Source organism: Homo sapiens, chromosome 1 (assembly GCF_000001405.40).
Source record: "Homo sapiens chromosome 1, GRCh38.p14 Primary Assembly".
In the NCBI taxonomy this organism is placed as follows: Eukaryota; Metazoa; Chordata; class Mammalia; order Primates; family Hominidae; genus Homo; species Homo sapiens.
Genome location: NC_000001.11, coordinates 28,282,996 through 28,299,066, shown reverse-complemented (window position 1 = coordinate 28,299,066; position 16,071 = coordinate 28,282,996). Strand labels below are relative to the sequence as shown.

General features: G+C 46.4%; 2 annotated features.

The window, feature by feature from the left end:
- Positions 923-1,072: an enhancer, noted in NCBI's record as "active region_595". NCBI's record gives its function as "activates an Ori minimal core promoter by ATAC-STARR-seq in GM12878 lymphoblastoid cells {active_cell/tissue: GM12878}" and the evidence as "EXISTENCE:reporter gene assay evidence [ECO:0000049][PMID:35858748]".
- Positions 8,165-9,159: an enhancer, noted in NCBI's record as "OCT4-NANOG-H3K27ac hESC enhancer chr1:28616419-28617413 (GRCh37/hg19 assembly coordinates)". NCBI's record gives its function as "activates a minimal SCP1, AML or CMV promoter by ChIP-STARR-seq in primed H9 embryonic stem cells {active_cell/tissue: H9 hESC(primed)}" and the evidence as "EXISTENCE:reporter gene assay evidence [ECO:0000049][PMID:30033119]".

The window sequence follows — 16,071 nt, the reverse complement described above, 5'->3', positions numbered from 1 at the left end:
TTTCTTGTTTTTGTAGAGATGGAGTGTTGTCCATGCTGGTCTCAAACTCTTGGGCTCAAGCAATCCTCCTACCTCAGCTTCCCAAGTAGCTGGGACTACAGGTGTGAGCCACCACACCCGGCTAATTTTTGTATTTTTAGTAGAGCCGGGGTTTCACCATGTTGGCCAGGCTGGTCTCGAACTCCTGAGCTCAAATGATCTACCCGCCTCGGCCTCCCAAAGTGCTGGGATTACAGGCATGAGCCACCGCACCCGGCCTGCCTTCTCTTCTACTTCCAATTCTTTCTGCCCTCTAGGGAGCTTGTTTCAGTAATTATCACATCTTTTTCCTTCTCACTGGCTATTTTCCCCTCTCCCTTTCATGTCTTTCTAGAACCTATGTAGAATTCCTTAGGATGAGATTTGAGACTCTTTGTATCAGTCAGCATTCTTCCAGCTGCAAGTGACAAAAAACCCAACCAAACCTGTCTTACTCATAAAAGAGAATGTTTTGCTTATGGAATTGAATAGTATAGGTGAAGACTTCAGGCATAGCTGGATCTAGAGACTCAAATATTATTTTTATTTTATTATTTTTTGAGATGAAGTTTTGTTATTGTTGCCTAGGCTAGAGTGCAGTGGCATGATCTTGGCTCACTGCAACCTCTGCCTCCTGGGTTCAAGCAATTCTCCTGCCTCAGCCTCCAGAGTAGCTGGGATTACAGGCACACGCCACCATGCCCAGCTAATTTTTGTGTTTTTAGTAGAGATGGAGTTTTGCCATGTTGACCAGGCTGGCCTTGAGCTCCTGACGTCAGGTGATCTGCCCACCTCGGCCTCCCAAAGTGCTGGGATTACAGGTGTGAGCCACCATGCCCAGCAAGACTCAAATATTATTATAAAGAATCGGGCCTGTAATCCCAGCCCATTTTCACCAAATAATCTTGGCCCAATTTATCAACTTTCCCTGCCAGATCTGTGACCACCCTGACATGTACACATCCTATGGCCCAACACAATGGTCACACTTCTTGGAACTTCAGTCTCTGACTGTGCTTTCAATCTGACTCACCTTCAAAGACCAGCTGAGCCACCACTTCCTCTGTGAAGCCTTCCTGATTGCCACCAGCTGGAATTGACCTCAGTCGTACCTTAACCACACCTGAATGCTCTTTATTTATTATTATTATTATTATTATTATTATTATTATTATTATTTTTGAGACAGAGATTCTCTGTGTTGCCAGGCTGGAGTGCAGTGGTGCAATCTCAGCTCACTGCAACCTCCGCCTCCTGGGTTCAAGCAATTCTCCTGCCTCAGCCTCCCAAGTAGCTGGGACTACGGGTGTGTGCCACCACCCCCAGCTAATTTTTGTATTTTTAGTGGAGACGGGGTTTCACCATGTTGGCCAGGATGGTCTTGATCTCTTGACCTGGTGATTCACCCGCCTCGGGCTCCCAAAGTGCTGGGATTACAGGCGTGAGCCACTGCGCCTGGCCGCTGAATGCTCTTTATTAGCACCTCTCATTGTCTCTTTGCTGGAAATTAGACTTTTACCTGCCTTTATCTCCTCTATGAGACCCCAAGCTTGTTGAAGTCAGGGACTCCATCTTACTCATCTTTCCATCTCCCTAAAAGCCTGTCACAGTGATCCTCTGCTACTTAATTAGTCCTATGACATTGGACAAAGTCCTTCACCTCTTTGAGCCTTGGTTTATTCTTTTGTAAAATAGGAATGGTAATAGCTCTTACCATAAATATCTTTTTGTGAGGACTGAGACATACGTACACCCATAATTTATTGCATGTATACCATGTGTTTCAGAGAGATGATGTTTCTTGCAAAGGACACACACCTAGTGCTGGCAGGGCTGGGATTCAAATGTCCTCTACATAGAGACTGTCCTCCTAACCTCTATTCCAAAGGGCCTCCCACGTAGGAGAGGAAGAGGCTGGCACAGTAGGTGCACAACGAATGTTGCTAAATGCTTGACTCTCTTGAATCAATTCTGCTTTGACTGCACTTTCCTCTGGACTATGCTTTGCCCTTCTCCAGTTCATCCTGGCTGTGTCGTCAGACCACGTGACACACACTCCCCTCGGGGGCCCTACTTAATTCCTGCTGACCTGGAATGTCTTCCAAACACTCCGGTAAACTGGGAGGAGTCTGTGGGCTGTAAATCCTGGATCTTGGGCAGCCCAAAGGTCTCTGTTTGCGCTGACCCAGACAACAGCTGGAACTCCAGCCAGGGGAGATGCTGCCTGGCGGGGGAGGAGGCATGGAACGTGCGAGCCTTCCCATCCTCCCCCACACAGAGGAGTCCAAGGTCCAAGGCTACAGGTCTGCTGTCTTGAACATATTGCTCACTTTTTGGTTTCCGTGGTATTTATGTGATAAAACCAGTTGTTCTTTGTTGTGAGCCTCCTCACGTCATAACAGCCTTGTGGTAGATATTTGGGAAAAGGACCATGATGATTTGGATCCATCAAACTCAGATTGCTCCTCCTGAAAACACGTTTTTTCCCCAAAGTCTATTTGTTTTCCATTTACTAAGCAGTTGATATGTGCCAGGTGTTGTATTGAACACATTACGTGCATTATATAATTCAGAATTTCTCAAGCTCAGGGCCATTGACTTTTTGGACTGGATAACTCTGTGTTCAAAGGGACCACCCTATGCATTGGAGGATGTTTAGCAGCTTCCCTGGCCTCTACCCACTGAGATGCCAGAGGCCCCCTGTAACAGCCAAAAATGTCTCCAAACTTTGCCAAATATCCCGTGAGGACAAAATCATCCCTAAGTAAGAACCACTGATTTAACTGAATAGACATAAGGATCTTATGAACTATTATCCCTTTTCCCAGAAGAGTAAACTGAGACTAACAGAGGTGAAGTGACTCACCTAAAGTCATACAACAAATGGTAGAGCTGGAATTTGAACTCTGGCTCCAGTGCATAGGGTTTTAATCACTAGACCAATGTCAACAAGACTGTCAAAAGACTGACAATACCAAGTGTTGGCAAAGATGCAGAGCAACTGGAACTGGAGCTGGGTGCAGCGGCTCATCTCTGTAGCCCCAGCATTTTGGGAGGTCAAGGCAGGAGGATCACTGGAGCCCAAGAGGTCTAGACCAGTCTGGGCAACATAGGGAGACCCTCATCTCTACAAAAAATAAAAAATAAAAATAGCTGGGTATGTCCACATAAATAGCAGGTTTACTCATAATAGCCAAAATTGGAAACAACTCAAATGTCTATCAACTCATGAATGAATAAATGAATTGTAATATATCCATACAATAGTATTGTGCTCAGCAACAAAAAGGAATGAACTATGGATACACACGACAACATGAATTAGCTTCAAAAGCTTTATGGTAACGAAGAAGACAAACACAAAAGATTACACAATGAGGCCAGGTGTGGTGGCTCAGGCCTGTAATCCCAGCACTTTGGGAGGCCAAGGTGGGCGGATCACTTGAGCTAGGGAGGTTGAGGCTGCAGTGAGCCATGATCGTGCCACTGCACTCCAGCTTGGGCGGTGGAGTGAGACCCTGTCTCAAAAAATAAGAATAATAACAAATATTTGTTAATAGAAAATATTGCCATTTATATGTCATCATTTCTCAAGAAGTGATCACGTTATCTATGTACTTATTGTAAGTTTTTTAGGTATAATTTTTTTTTTTTTTTTGAGACAGAGTTTTGCTCTTATTGCCCAGGCTGGAGGGCAATGGCACAATCTCAGCTCACCGCAACTTCCGCCTTCTGGGTTTAAGTTATTCTCCTGCCTCAGCCTCCTGAGTGGCTGGGATTACAGGCATGTGCCACCACGCCCGGCTAATTTTTTTTTTTTTTTTTTTTTTTTTTTTTTTTTTTTTTGAGACGGAGTCTCGCTCTGTCGCCCAGGCCGGACTGCGGACTGCAGTGGCGCAATCTCGGCTCACTGCAAGCTCCGCTTCCCGGGTTCACGCCATTCTCCTGCCTCAGCCTCCCGAGTAGCTGGGACTACAGGCGCCTGCCACCGCGCCCGGCTAATTTTTTGTATTTTTAGTAGAGACGGGGTTTCACCTTGTTAGCCAGGCTGGTCTCGAACTCCCAACCTCAGGTGATCCACCCACCTTGGCCTCCCAAAGTGTGGTATAATTTTTTTTTTTTTTTTGAGATGGAGTTTCGCTGTTGTTGCCCAGGCTGGAGTGCAATGACACGATCTTGGCTCACCACAACTTCCGCCTCCTGGGTTCAAGCGATTTCTCCTGGCTCAGCCTCCCAAGTAGCTGGGATTACAGGCATGTGCCACCACACCCGGCTAATTTTATATTTTTAGTAGAGACAGGGTTTCTCCATGTTGGTCAGGCTAGTCTCAAATTCCGACTGTGATCCACCTGCCTCGGCCTCCCAAAGTGCGGTATAATTTTTTTGAAATGGAATCCTGCAACATTGCCCAGGCTTTTCTGGAACTCCTGGGGTCAGCTTCAGTTTTCCCACCTCAGCTTCCTGAGTAGTTGGGATTGCAGATGTAAACCACCACACCCGATGTGTAGGTATAATTTTTATTAATGGTCAAACTCTCTTCAGTAAATGTGTAAATTATGATTATTATAGTTCTTTTCTTCAATAGGTTACTGTCAATTTATCTAATGACCTCTGCATTCATTAGCAAACACTCCACAATGACAATATTGTCTTAAGACTAGTGAATTAATACATTTTGTTGCATTATGTTTGTGTTCTAAACTTAAAAGCTAATTTTTGAATGCAAAACTTTGTCATCTGCTAAAGAATTAAATGGATTAAGAATAACAACAAAAACAAAAACAAAACTAATTTGTAATAACAGAAAGCTGATAGTGGGTGCCTGGGGCCAGAAAGCAGGATGGGATATTCACTGCAAAGGAGCACAAGGAAATTAGATTTGGATGGTAGTTGCATAGGCGTATGCTTTTCTCAAAACTCATGGAAATGTCTGCATTTAAAATGAGTGCGTTTTGGCCGGGCACGGTGGCTCGCGCCTTTTATCCCAGCACTTTGGGAAGCTGAGGCGGGCGGATTGCCTGAGCTCAGGAGTTTGAAACCAGCCTGGGCAACATGGTATAACCCCGGCTCTACTAACAATACAAAAAATTAGCCAGACGTGGTGGCGGTCGCCTGTTAATCCCAGCTACTAGGGAGGCTGAGGCAGGAGAATCGCTTGAACTCGGGAGGCAGAGGTTGCAGTGAGCCAAGATCATGCCACTGCCCTCCAGCCTGGGTGACAGAGTGAGACTGTCTCAAAAAAAAAAAAAAAAGTGTGCATTTTATTATATGCAGATTCTACTGTATAAATTTGGTTTGAAAGGAAAAAATAAATTGCGGCAGGGAAATGCAGATTGGAGGAAGATATCAATGTGAAACAGGAAAAGAGGCTTAGAGGGTTCTTCTTTGGTTGGTCAGTGACTTTGGCTCTGAGATTTGTTTCCCCAAATTCTTACCCAGGAGCACCGGAGGCCCAGCTGAAATGCCACCACTTCTAGGAAACTTCCCTGGCTTCCCCAGCCCACAGTGTCTTCTGGGAAGAATGTTCATTCTGCATATTAATATTTAAAAATTCCTTCATCGGCAGGGTGCAGTGGCTCACGCCTGTAATCTCAGCACTTTGGGAGGCCAAGGCGGGTGGATCACTTGAGATCAGGAGTTCAAGACCAGTCTGGCCAACATGGGGAAACCCCATCTCTACTAAAAATATAAAATTAGTGGAGCATAGTGGCGCACACCTGTAATCCCAGCTACTTGGGAGGCTGAAGCTTGAGAATTGCTTGAACCTGGGAGGCGGAGGCTGCAGTGAGAGGAGATCGTGCCACTCCAGCCTTGGCGACAGAATGAGACCCTGTCTCAAAAACAAACAAACCTCCTCCATAAGTGAGTGCATTTCAGTTTATTAAATGCTTTCAGCCTATTATTTCAGCTGATTCTTTAAAAAAAAATTTATTATTATTTTTTAATTTACCACAACATGTCAGTCAACTCAGCTGATTCTTAACCACTGATCAGGTCAAAGATTCTCCCCATTTTAGAGATGGGGAAACTAACATTTTCCTTCAGGGAAAGAAGTGACTTGTTTACATCTTAAAGCCACAAATTAAGACAGTGCCTGGACTAGTACCTGGGCCTGCAGTGCTCCTTCCCTTGGAAGGCAGTGGAAGGGTGGGTGGAAAGAGCACTTTCTGGAGAGTTTAGAACTCCTGCTCATTTGCTTGGGACATGTCTGGGCAATGTTAATATTGCTAGACCTCAGCTTTCATAGCTAAAAATTGGTAAAATCCTCACTTTGCCTATGTCTCAGGATTGTGGTTAGGATTGCCTAGAACAGTCTTGGCTCATAAATAAGTGATTAAAAAAAAATATATATATATATAGGCCAGGCGCAGTGGCTCACGCCTGTAATCCCAGCACTTTGGGAGGCCAAGATGGGCGGATCACAAGGTCAGGAGATCGAGACCATCCTGGCTAACAAGGTGAAACCCCGTCTCTACTAAAAATACAAAAAATTAGCCAGGCGTGGTGGCAGGCGCCTGTAGTCCCAGCTACTAGGGAGGCTGAGGCAGGAGAATGGCATGAACCCGGGAGGTGGAGCTTGCAGTGAGCTGAGATAGTGCTACTGCACTCCAGCCTGGGCGACAGAGCAAGACTCCATCTCAAAAAAAAAAAAATATATATATATATATATATTTATATTTATATATGTATGTGTATATTTAGATATTGAGACATGGTCTCACTCCATCACTCAGGCTGGAGTGCAGTGGTGCAATCACAGCTCACTGCAGCCTCGACCTCCCAGGCTCAAGCGATCCTCCCACCTCAGCCCCCCAAGTAGCTGGGACTACAGGTACGTGCCTCCACCTCCAGCTAATTTTTCTATTTTTTGTAGAGTCTGGGTCTCATTCAAGACCAGGGGCTGGTCTTGAACCCCTGGGCTCAAGCGATCCTCCCACCTCAGCCTACCAAAGTGCTGGGATTACCAGTGTGAGCCACTCCACTCTGCCGCCAAAATATTTAATGACTCCTTGAACCTAAAATAAACGGGAAGAAAAAAAATGTAATGAAAACAACAAACATTTATTGAGCACTTATGCTAGCATATGGTAGACATTGGGATACAACGGTGAACATGGAGACAGGCAGGAAACAATAAAGATTATGAAACGTGTTGAAGAGAAAAGAAATGGGAAGGGGCAGGGTGAGGCTGAGAAACAGGGGTCAGGTCCGAACTCTCTGATGAGACGATGTTAAAGGTGAAACTGCAGGTTTAGAAAGAGCTTGTCTGGAGAAGAGCATTCCAGGTTGTGGGAATTCTATACTATCTTTTATCTCACAACTCCCATTTCATAGATGAGGAACCTGTGGCTTTGAATCTAAGAAAATGGTACTGACTCTGTCTTCTGCTGAAAAGAAGAACTTAACTAAACAGGCACTTTATAATCATTTTCTCTTTCTCTTTTTAAAGCCTGGCCTATGGAATCCAACATTTTCTCATTTGATTCTGACAATTTTTTTTTTTTTTAAGGCAGAGTCTCACTCTGTCTCCCAGGGCGGAGTGCAATGGTGCCATCTCAGCTCACTGCAACCTCCACCTCCCAAGTTCAAGCTATTCTCCCACCTCAGACTCCCAAGTAGCTGGGACTACAGGTGCCTGCCACCAAGTCCAGCTAATTTTTGTATTTTTAATAGAAACGGGGGTTTCACCATGTTGACCAGGCTGGTCTCAAACTCCTGACCTCAAGTGATCCACCTGCCTTAGCCTGCCAAAGTGCTGGGATTACAGGCATGAGCCACCGTGCCCAGCAATAATTTTTTTTTATGTAGATGGTAATGTTCCCATTTTATAGATGAAGAAATTAAAGGAAGTTACCAAGAGCCATACGGGTACTTGATCTTGTTTATTTAAATTCTGCCTCATTCCAGATGGCTTTGCACTCAGATTTGAGCCTCATTTGTCTGGTTCCAAAGTCCAAGCTCTTTCCCCGACACCAGACTGGTGCTGAGTATCTGAGAGCTGGCCATTTAACAGACAACCAGGCAGGGAGAGACAGCCAGAGCAGAGGCCATGTCCACAGCAGCAGGAGGCTATTGTTTCTTAAGCACTGCCACCTGGGCCCAGAACTAGCCCAGGTATCCTGGTGGATACAAGCATGTATTCCACACCTATTTCTTCAACCCCTGCTACATGTCAGGCCCTGTGCTAGGCTCTGGAGATAAATGCAGTAGAGAACATACCAGACAAAAATCCCTGCCTTCCTGGGACCCCCAATTGAATGGGGAGATGACGAAGCCACACAAATGATTATAATTTTAGAAAAAAAAATGCCTCAGAAAACAGAAGCACTTTGTAAGGGTTAAAGAAGGAAGATGGATCCTCTGGGTGGTGTTTGGGATCCACTTTAAAATGGAAATAATAGGCTGAGCACGGTGGCTCACACCTGTAATCCCAGCACTTTGGGAGGCTGAGGTGGGTGGATCGCTTGAGCTCAGGAGTTCTAGACCAGCCTGGGCAACATGGTGAAACCTGGTCTCTGCTAAAAATACAAAAATTAGCCGGGGGTGGTGGCACGTGCTTGTAATCCCAGCTACTCGGGAGGCTGAGGAAGGAGAATGGCTTGAGCCTGGAAGGCAGAGGTTGCAGTGAGCCAAGATTGCGCCACTGCACTCCAGCGTGGGTGAAAGGGCAAGACTCCATCTCAAAAAAAAAAAAAAAAAAAAAGGCCAAGTGCGATGGCTCATGCCTGTAATCCCAGCACTTTGGGAGGCCGGGGTGGGTGCATCTCACAAGGTCGGGAGTTCAAGACCAGCCTGGCCAACATAGTGAAATTCCATCTCTACTAAAAATATAAAAATTAGCCGGGCCTGGTGGCAGGCGCCTGTAGCCCCAGCTACTCGAGAGGCTGAGACAGGAGAATCACTTGAACGCGGGAGGCAGAGGTTGCAGTGAGCCGAGATCGCACCACTGCACTCCAGCCTGGGCGACAGAGCGAGCGAAACTCCATCTTAAAAAAAAAAAAAAAAAAAAGGCCAGGCCTGTAATCCCAGCAATTTGGGAGGCTGAGGCAGGCGGATTACCTTAGGTCGGGAGTTCGAGACCAGCCTGACCAACATGGAGAAACCCATCTCTACTAAAAATACAAAATTAGCTGGGTGTGTTGGCACATGCCTGTAATCCCAGCTACTTGTGAGGTTGAGGCAGAAGAATCGCTTGAACCCAGGAGGCAGAGGTGGCGGTGAGCCGAGATTGTGCCATTACACTCCAGTGTGGGCAACAAGAGCGAAACTCCGTCTCAAAAAAAAAAAAAAAGAAAAAAAATGCTGGGCGTGATGGCTCATGCCTGTAATCCCAGCACTTTGGGAGGCCGAGTTGGGCAGATCACCTGAGGTCAGAAGTTTCAAGACCTGCCTGGCCAACATGGCGAAACCCCATCTCTACTGAGATACAAAAAATAGCTGGGCGTGGTGGTGGGCGTCTGTAATCCTGGTTACTTGGGAAGCTGAGGCAGGAGAATTGCTTGAACCTGGGAGGTGGAGGTTGCCGAGATCACTCCACTGCACTCCAGCCTGGGCAGCAAAGCAAGACTCCATCTGGGAAAAAAAAAAAAGGAGCTAATAGTGGGCTCTACTATCTAGTGCGGCAGTGAAAATTAAATAAGATCCTGCCGGGCTGGGTGTGGTGCCTCACGCCTGTAATCTCAGCACTTTGGGAGGAGAAAGCAGGAGGATTGCTTGAGCACAGGAGTTCAAGATCAGCCTGGGCAACATAGCAAGACCAACGTCTCTGCAAAAAATAAAATAAAAAATTAGCCAGGCATGGTAATTTGCACCTGTAATCCCAGCTACTTGGAGGCTAAGGCAGGAGGATGGCTTGAGCCCAGGAGGTCGAGGCTACGGTGAGCTGTGATGGTGCCACTGAGAGAGACCCTGTCTCAAAAAAAAAAAACTAAAACAAAAACGAAAAACATGCCTGTGATGTACTTCATGGGCTACTTGGCACAAAGAAGTTCCTAAATAAGCCTTACTACTTTCTCCACTCTTTCTTCTAATAAATACAAACTATTTTGTAATAAACAGCAAAATTTCCTTTGAAGACTTCCCATTGCCCATAGGGTAAAGTCCAAAATTCCTGATGTACCCTGTGAGGTCCTGCTAGATCTGCCCTGGGGCTTTCTTCTCAGCCTCAGCCTTTCTTATGTTCTCCCAGCTCCTTCTGTCCCTACAAGGCTGCCTTCTCCTTCCTGCTTCAAATCCTTTCCCCATGCTGTTTCCTCTGCCAGAAGTTATCTTTGCTCCATGCTCTTTTCTCCCCTCTCATCCTTGGCCGATCCTTTCTTATCCTTCAAGTCCAGGGTAGGCTGTACTTTCTCATAGCTCCCTGTGCTCTTTCTTTCCCCAGGGCTTATCACAAGAATTTGTGTGACGAGCTGGACGTGGTGGCTCACGCCTGTAATCCCAGCACTCTGGGAGGCCAAGGCAGGCAGATCACTTGAGGTCACGATCAACCTGGCCAATATGGTGAAACCCTGCCTCTACTAAAAATACAAAAAGCTAGCCGGGCGTGGTGGCACACGCCTGTAATCCCAGCTATTCAGGAGGCTGAGGTGGGAGGATCGCTTGAACCCAGGAGGCAGAGGTTGCAGTGAGAAGAGATTGTGCCACTGCCCTCAAGCCTAGGTGACAGAGTGAGACTTCATCTCAAAAAAAGAAAAAAAAGAATTTGTGTGATGTTCATTTTTCCCACTGGGGTTTATAGGCCCATGAGGACCACAGCTGTCTGTCTTATTCACTGCTGTACTGCCAGCATGAGCAGGGGCTGGGACACAATAAAGTACTTGATAATGTTGGCATGAACAAAGAAAAGAGCTTCCTGCTGGGCGCAGTGGCTCATGCCTGTAATTCCAGCACTTTGGGAGGCCGAGGTGGGTGGACCACGAGGTCAGGCATTCGAGACCAGCCTGGCCAACATGGTGAAACCCTGTCTCTACTAAAAATACAAAAATTAGCCGGGCGTGGTGGCACACGCCTGTAATCCTAGCTACTCGGGAGGCTGAGGCAGGAGAATTGCTTGAACCTGGGAGGCGGAGATTGCAGTGAGCCGAGATCATGCCACTGCACTCCAGTCTGGGTGACAGAGCAAGACTCTGTCTCAAAAAAAAAAAAAAAAAAAAAAGGGAAAGAAAAAGAAAAGAGGTTCCTTCTTGAAATGTGAGTTTGGAAACTCAGAAATGGGACAGAACTCAAAGCTCCCCACCACCACTCCAAATATAATCCAACTGTGAGGTCAGAGGTGATTCAAACATGGGCGGAAGGAATTTCTGCTGCCATCACCAGCTGAGACATGGTTTTTCTCAGGACCAGGCACATTGCACAGAGGTAGACTTGAGAGAAGATGTTGAACTCAGGCAATACTTAACCTCCCCAGAGAGGGGAATTGACTTGTCCAAGGTCTCCAGCCATTGGAGTGAGAACCTATTCTGGCCACTACAGCTGTTGCCTCTAGCCTCAGGCAGGGCAAGTCAAAGCAGGAAGTTGTAGGACTGTGGCACAGGGTGGTGACAGACTATGAAGAGGATCTGAAGGTTCAGGCTTGTGAGACCTCAGGTAGGTCATTTCCCCACTCTGGTCCTTATTTTAACCATCTGTAATAAGAGAGTGTTTTAAGTACTCTTTTAAGGAGACTGAGATGGAGATTTGCCTACAGAGGGTTTACTGGGGAATCATATTACAGGACAGTGAGAAGCATAACTGGGCAGAAGTTGGGCTGCAATGCTGCTGCAATGGAGGATTCATCTGATCCTAAGGGGTACAATAAAGCTGGGATAATCCTTCAGAGTTGTTTCAAATGGAGGCTGAGGGTCCGGGCCTCTGTACTCTTCTCTCCCATCAACCAGTCATTGGAGGCAGACTGCTGGAAGGAGGCGTAACCATGAGCTAAGTGGCTCCCTTCAACTCAGGATAGTGGCCAGAGAGAGACTCAGCTGAAATTCTTCAGCAACTTGATGGAGTGGGAGATGTGGGAAAACGAGTGCCATAGTCTGGGTAGCACATGACAGCATCCACTACAGAGGAATATGAATGAGCAGTTTTCGAACTCTGTTCCATGGAGCCCTGAGATTTCAAGAAGGTGCTTCAGTGCATGGGAAATTGCTGTTCTTGGATGTGTTGGAGCTTCTGCAAAAGTCCAACATATTTCCTTGGAAGAAAAGGCTCTCCTGCTAGGTGGTGAATGCCCTCACAGCACCTCATATTTTCCCTTTGAGGTGCCAATCAAAATTGTAATTTAAATAATTTGTCCAGGCATGGTGGTTCACGCCTGTAATCCCAGCACTTTGGGAGGCTGAAGCAGGTGGATACCTGAGGTCGGGAGTTTGAGACCAGCCTGGCCAACATAGTAAAACCCCGTCTCTACTAAAAATACAAAAATTAGCCAGGCATGGTAGCGCATGTCTGTAATCCCAGCTACTCAGGAGGCTGAAGCAGGAGAATCGCTTGAACCCAGGAGACGGAGGCTGCAGTGAGCCAAGATCACACCACTGCACTCCAGCCTGGCTGACAGAGTGAGACTCCATCTCAAAAAAATTAAAAAAAAAAATAAAAAATAATTAGTTGCATAACGGTCTAAGGTCTGTCTCTTTCACTTGACAGTAAATCCCAAGAAAGCAGGAACCATGTCTGTCTCCTTCACTGCTAAGTCTCCAGGACATGTGACACATTAGAACCATAACATCTGTTCAAAGAACTCATACCAAGGAAGCTATTAAAGATGCAGATTGCTGAGCTCTGCCTCCAACCACTGGTTCTCTAATGAGATTCTAAGGCACAAAACAGTCTGTGAACTACTTCTCTAATCCACCTGCTCTAGGGCTCTGGTGAATGTTTGCAACCTGCTGGAGGAGACTCACTTGGCTTTTTTTTTTTTGGTCGGGGAGAGAAGGAGTTTCACTCTTGTTACCCAGGCTGGAGTGCAATGGCGCGATCCCGGCTCACTGCAACCTCTGCCTCGCAGGTTCAAGCGATTCTCCTCTTTCAGCCTCCTGAAATAGCTGGGATTACAGGCATGCACCACCACATCCGGCTAATTTTTGAATTTTTGGTAGAGACAGGGTTTCACCATGTTGGTCAGGCTGGTCTCAAATTCCTGACCTCAGGTGATCCACCTGCCTTGGCTTCCCAAAGTGTTGGGATTACAGGCTTGAGCCACCATGCCCAGCCCCGGCTCCTTTTTCTACTCACTCTCACCAGTTCTCAAATCAAGCATGGTTCCAAAAGACAAAAGAATTAGCTGGGCGCAGTGTTGGGCGCCTGTAATCCCAGCTACTCAGGAGGTAAGGCAGGAGAATCACTTGAACCTGGGAGGCAGAGGTTGCAGTGAGCCAAGATCGCACCATTGCACTCCAGCCTGCGCGACAGAGTGTGACTCTGTCTAAAAACAAAAACAAAAACAAAAACAAACAAGCAAACAAAAAAAAAGAAAAAGAATTGAGCTACCGACAACCTTCTGCAAATTCCAACCTGGGTAGATGTGCACAGGTCTTGAGTTGCAGGCTACAGAAGTCTAAAATAGATTCATTAGATCCAGTCTGAAGCTGAGTTTTCAACTCCATTTGCAAATTTAACATGATTTTAAAAATATTTATTTATTTATTAGACAGAGTTTCATTCTGTCACCCAGGCTGGAGTGCAATGGCGCTGGGATTACGGGCGCCCACCACGACACCTGGCTAATTTTTGTATTTTGAGTAGAGACGGGGTTTCACCATGTTGGTCAGGCTGGTTTTGAATTCCTGACCTCAAATGATCCGCCTGCCTCGGCCTCCCAAAGTGCTGGGATTATGGGTGTCAGCCATCAGGTCCAGCCTAATAAACATGATTTTTTTTTTCTTTTTTTTGAGAGGAGTCTCCCTTTGTCGCCCAGGCTGGAGTGCAGTGGCGCAATCTTGGCTCACTGCAAGCTCCGCCTCCTGGGTTCACGCCATTCTCCTGCCTACAGGCTGGGACTGTAGTCCAGCCTACGTGGCATGCATTGAGTGTGACTGTTGCCAAATGTTTTCAAATTTAATCTCGCAATCTTCGCAACAACCGTGTGAGGAAAGGGTCTGTTCCCATTCTATAGATGTGGAAATGGAACCTCAAATGAGAATCTGGGGAACACCAATTTAACAGACAGACCCAAATTCAAATTCCAGCTTTGACATTTAATATCAGTCTGATCATGAGCAAGTTGCTTCAATACTCCCTCCTCAATTTCCTTATCTGTGGGATGGAATTAATACCTAAGGTTACAGGAGGGTTGTGAGGATTAAATAATACTGGGTAGCTGGGATTACAGGTGCCCGCCACCACGCCCGGCTAATTTTTTTTTTTTTTTTTTTTTTTTTTTTTTGTATTTTCAGTACAGTTGGGGTTTCACCGTGTTAGCCAGGATGGTCTGGATCTCCTGACCTCGTGATCCACCCGCCTTGGCCTCCCAAAGTGCTGGGATTACAGGCGTAAGCCACCGTGCCCAGCCATTATTTTTTTTTAAATGCATATTGAGGATTTAGGCACTTTGGAGACAAAAATAATGCAATACAGGGTTGGGCATGGTGGCTCATACCTGTAATCCCAGCACTTTGGGAGGCTGAGGCGGGCAGATCGCTTGAGCCCAGGAGTTCAAGACCACCCTCGGTAACATGGCAAAGGAGTTCAAGACCACCCTTGGCAACATGGGGAGGCTGGGGCAGGAGAATCACTTGAACCTGGGGAGGTTGCTGTGAACCGAGATCACACCAATGCACTCCAGCTCCATCTCAAAAAGAAAAAAAAAAAAGCAATACAAAGAACTCTGGAATCAGAATGAGAAGGATTCAAATTCTACCTCAGTCGCATGAGCTTGGGCAAATTTCTGAATCCTGAACAGCTTGCGAATGCTAGATGCCAGGTACCTGAACTGTGCTAGGTGGTTTTTATGCATTATTTAATCCTCACAACCCTCTTGTAACCTTAGGTATTAATTCCATCCCATAGATAAGGAAATTGAGGAGGGAGTATTGAAGCAACTTGCTCATGATCGGACAGACATTAAATGTCAAAGCTGGAATTTGAATTTGGGTCTGTCTGTTAAATTGGTGTTCCCCAGATTCTCATTTGAGGTTCCATTTCCACATCTATAGGATGGGAACAGACCCTTTCCTCACAGGGTTGTTGTGAAGATTGGGAGATTAAATTTGAAAACATTTGGCAACAGTCACACTCAATGCATGCCACATAGGCTGGGCGCAGTGGCTCATGCCTGTAATCCCAGCACTTTGGGAGGCTGAGGCACGTGGATCACTTGAGCTCAGGAGTTCCAGACCAGCTTGGCCAACATGGTGAAATCCTGTCTCTACTAAAAATACCGAAATTGGCCGGGCGTGATGGTATGTGCCTGTAATCCCAGCTACTAGGAAGGCTGAGGTGGGAGAATTGCTAGAACCTGGGAGATGGAGGTTGCAGTTGAGCCGAGATTGTGACACTGCACTCCAGCCTGGGTGACAGAGCGAGACTCCATCTCAAACAAACACCCAATGCATGCCAACTGGAAAAGAAATGGAAAACTTTTATCCCCATTTCTATGGCTGAGGAAACTTGAGGCACAGGGAAATTAATCAATCTCCCCAGCGATATAGTGAGTGGCTCAATCAGAACCAGAATCCAGGTTTTGTACTCCAAGTGTGATTCACTTTCTCCCACACCCTCTCAAATGACTCTAGAGGAAGGGGAAGTGTATAGGAATCCTGCGAAAATGAACAGATACCTCAAGGGGAAGGGGAACACAAAGTCCACTAGGGGAGGCTGCCTGGAAGAGACCTAGTGTTCTGACAGCGGTATTTATAGGAAGTAGGAAGCCCGCGGGAGTGGTCTTAGCTCTTACATGATGTGGTTTTCCTGGTAAGCTAACTAGTTCCTGGTACCCAGAGAAGTTAAGAAGCTTGACCAAGGTCACACAGCCATAAACGGCACTGGCACAGCTTGGGGGTTGCACCTCTTTGTTCCTGGCGTTGTCTCCTTGGTGCTGGAGGCGGTAGGATGAGAAGCAGGTAATCATAA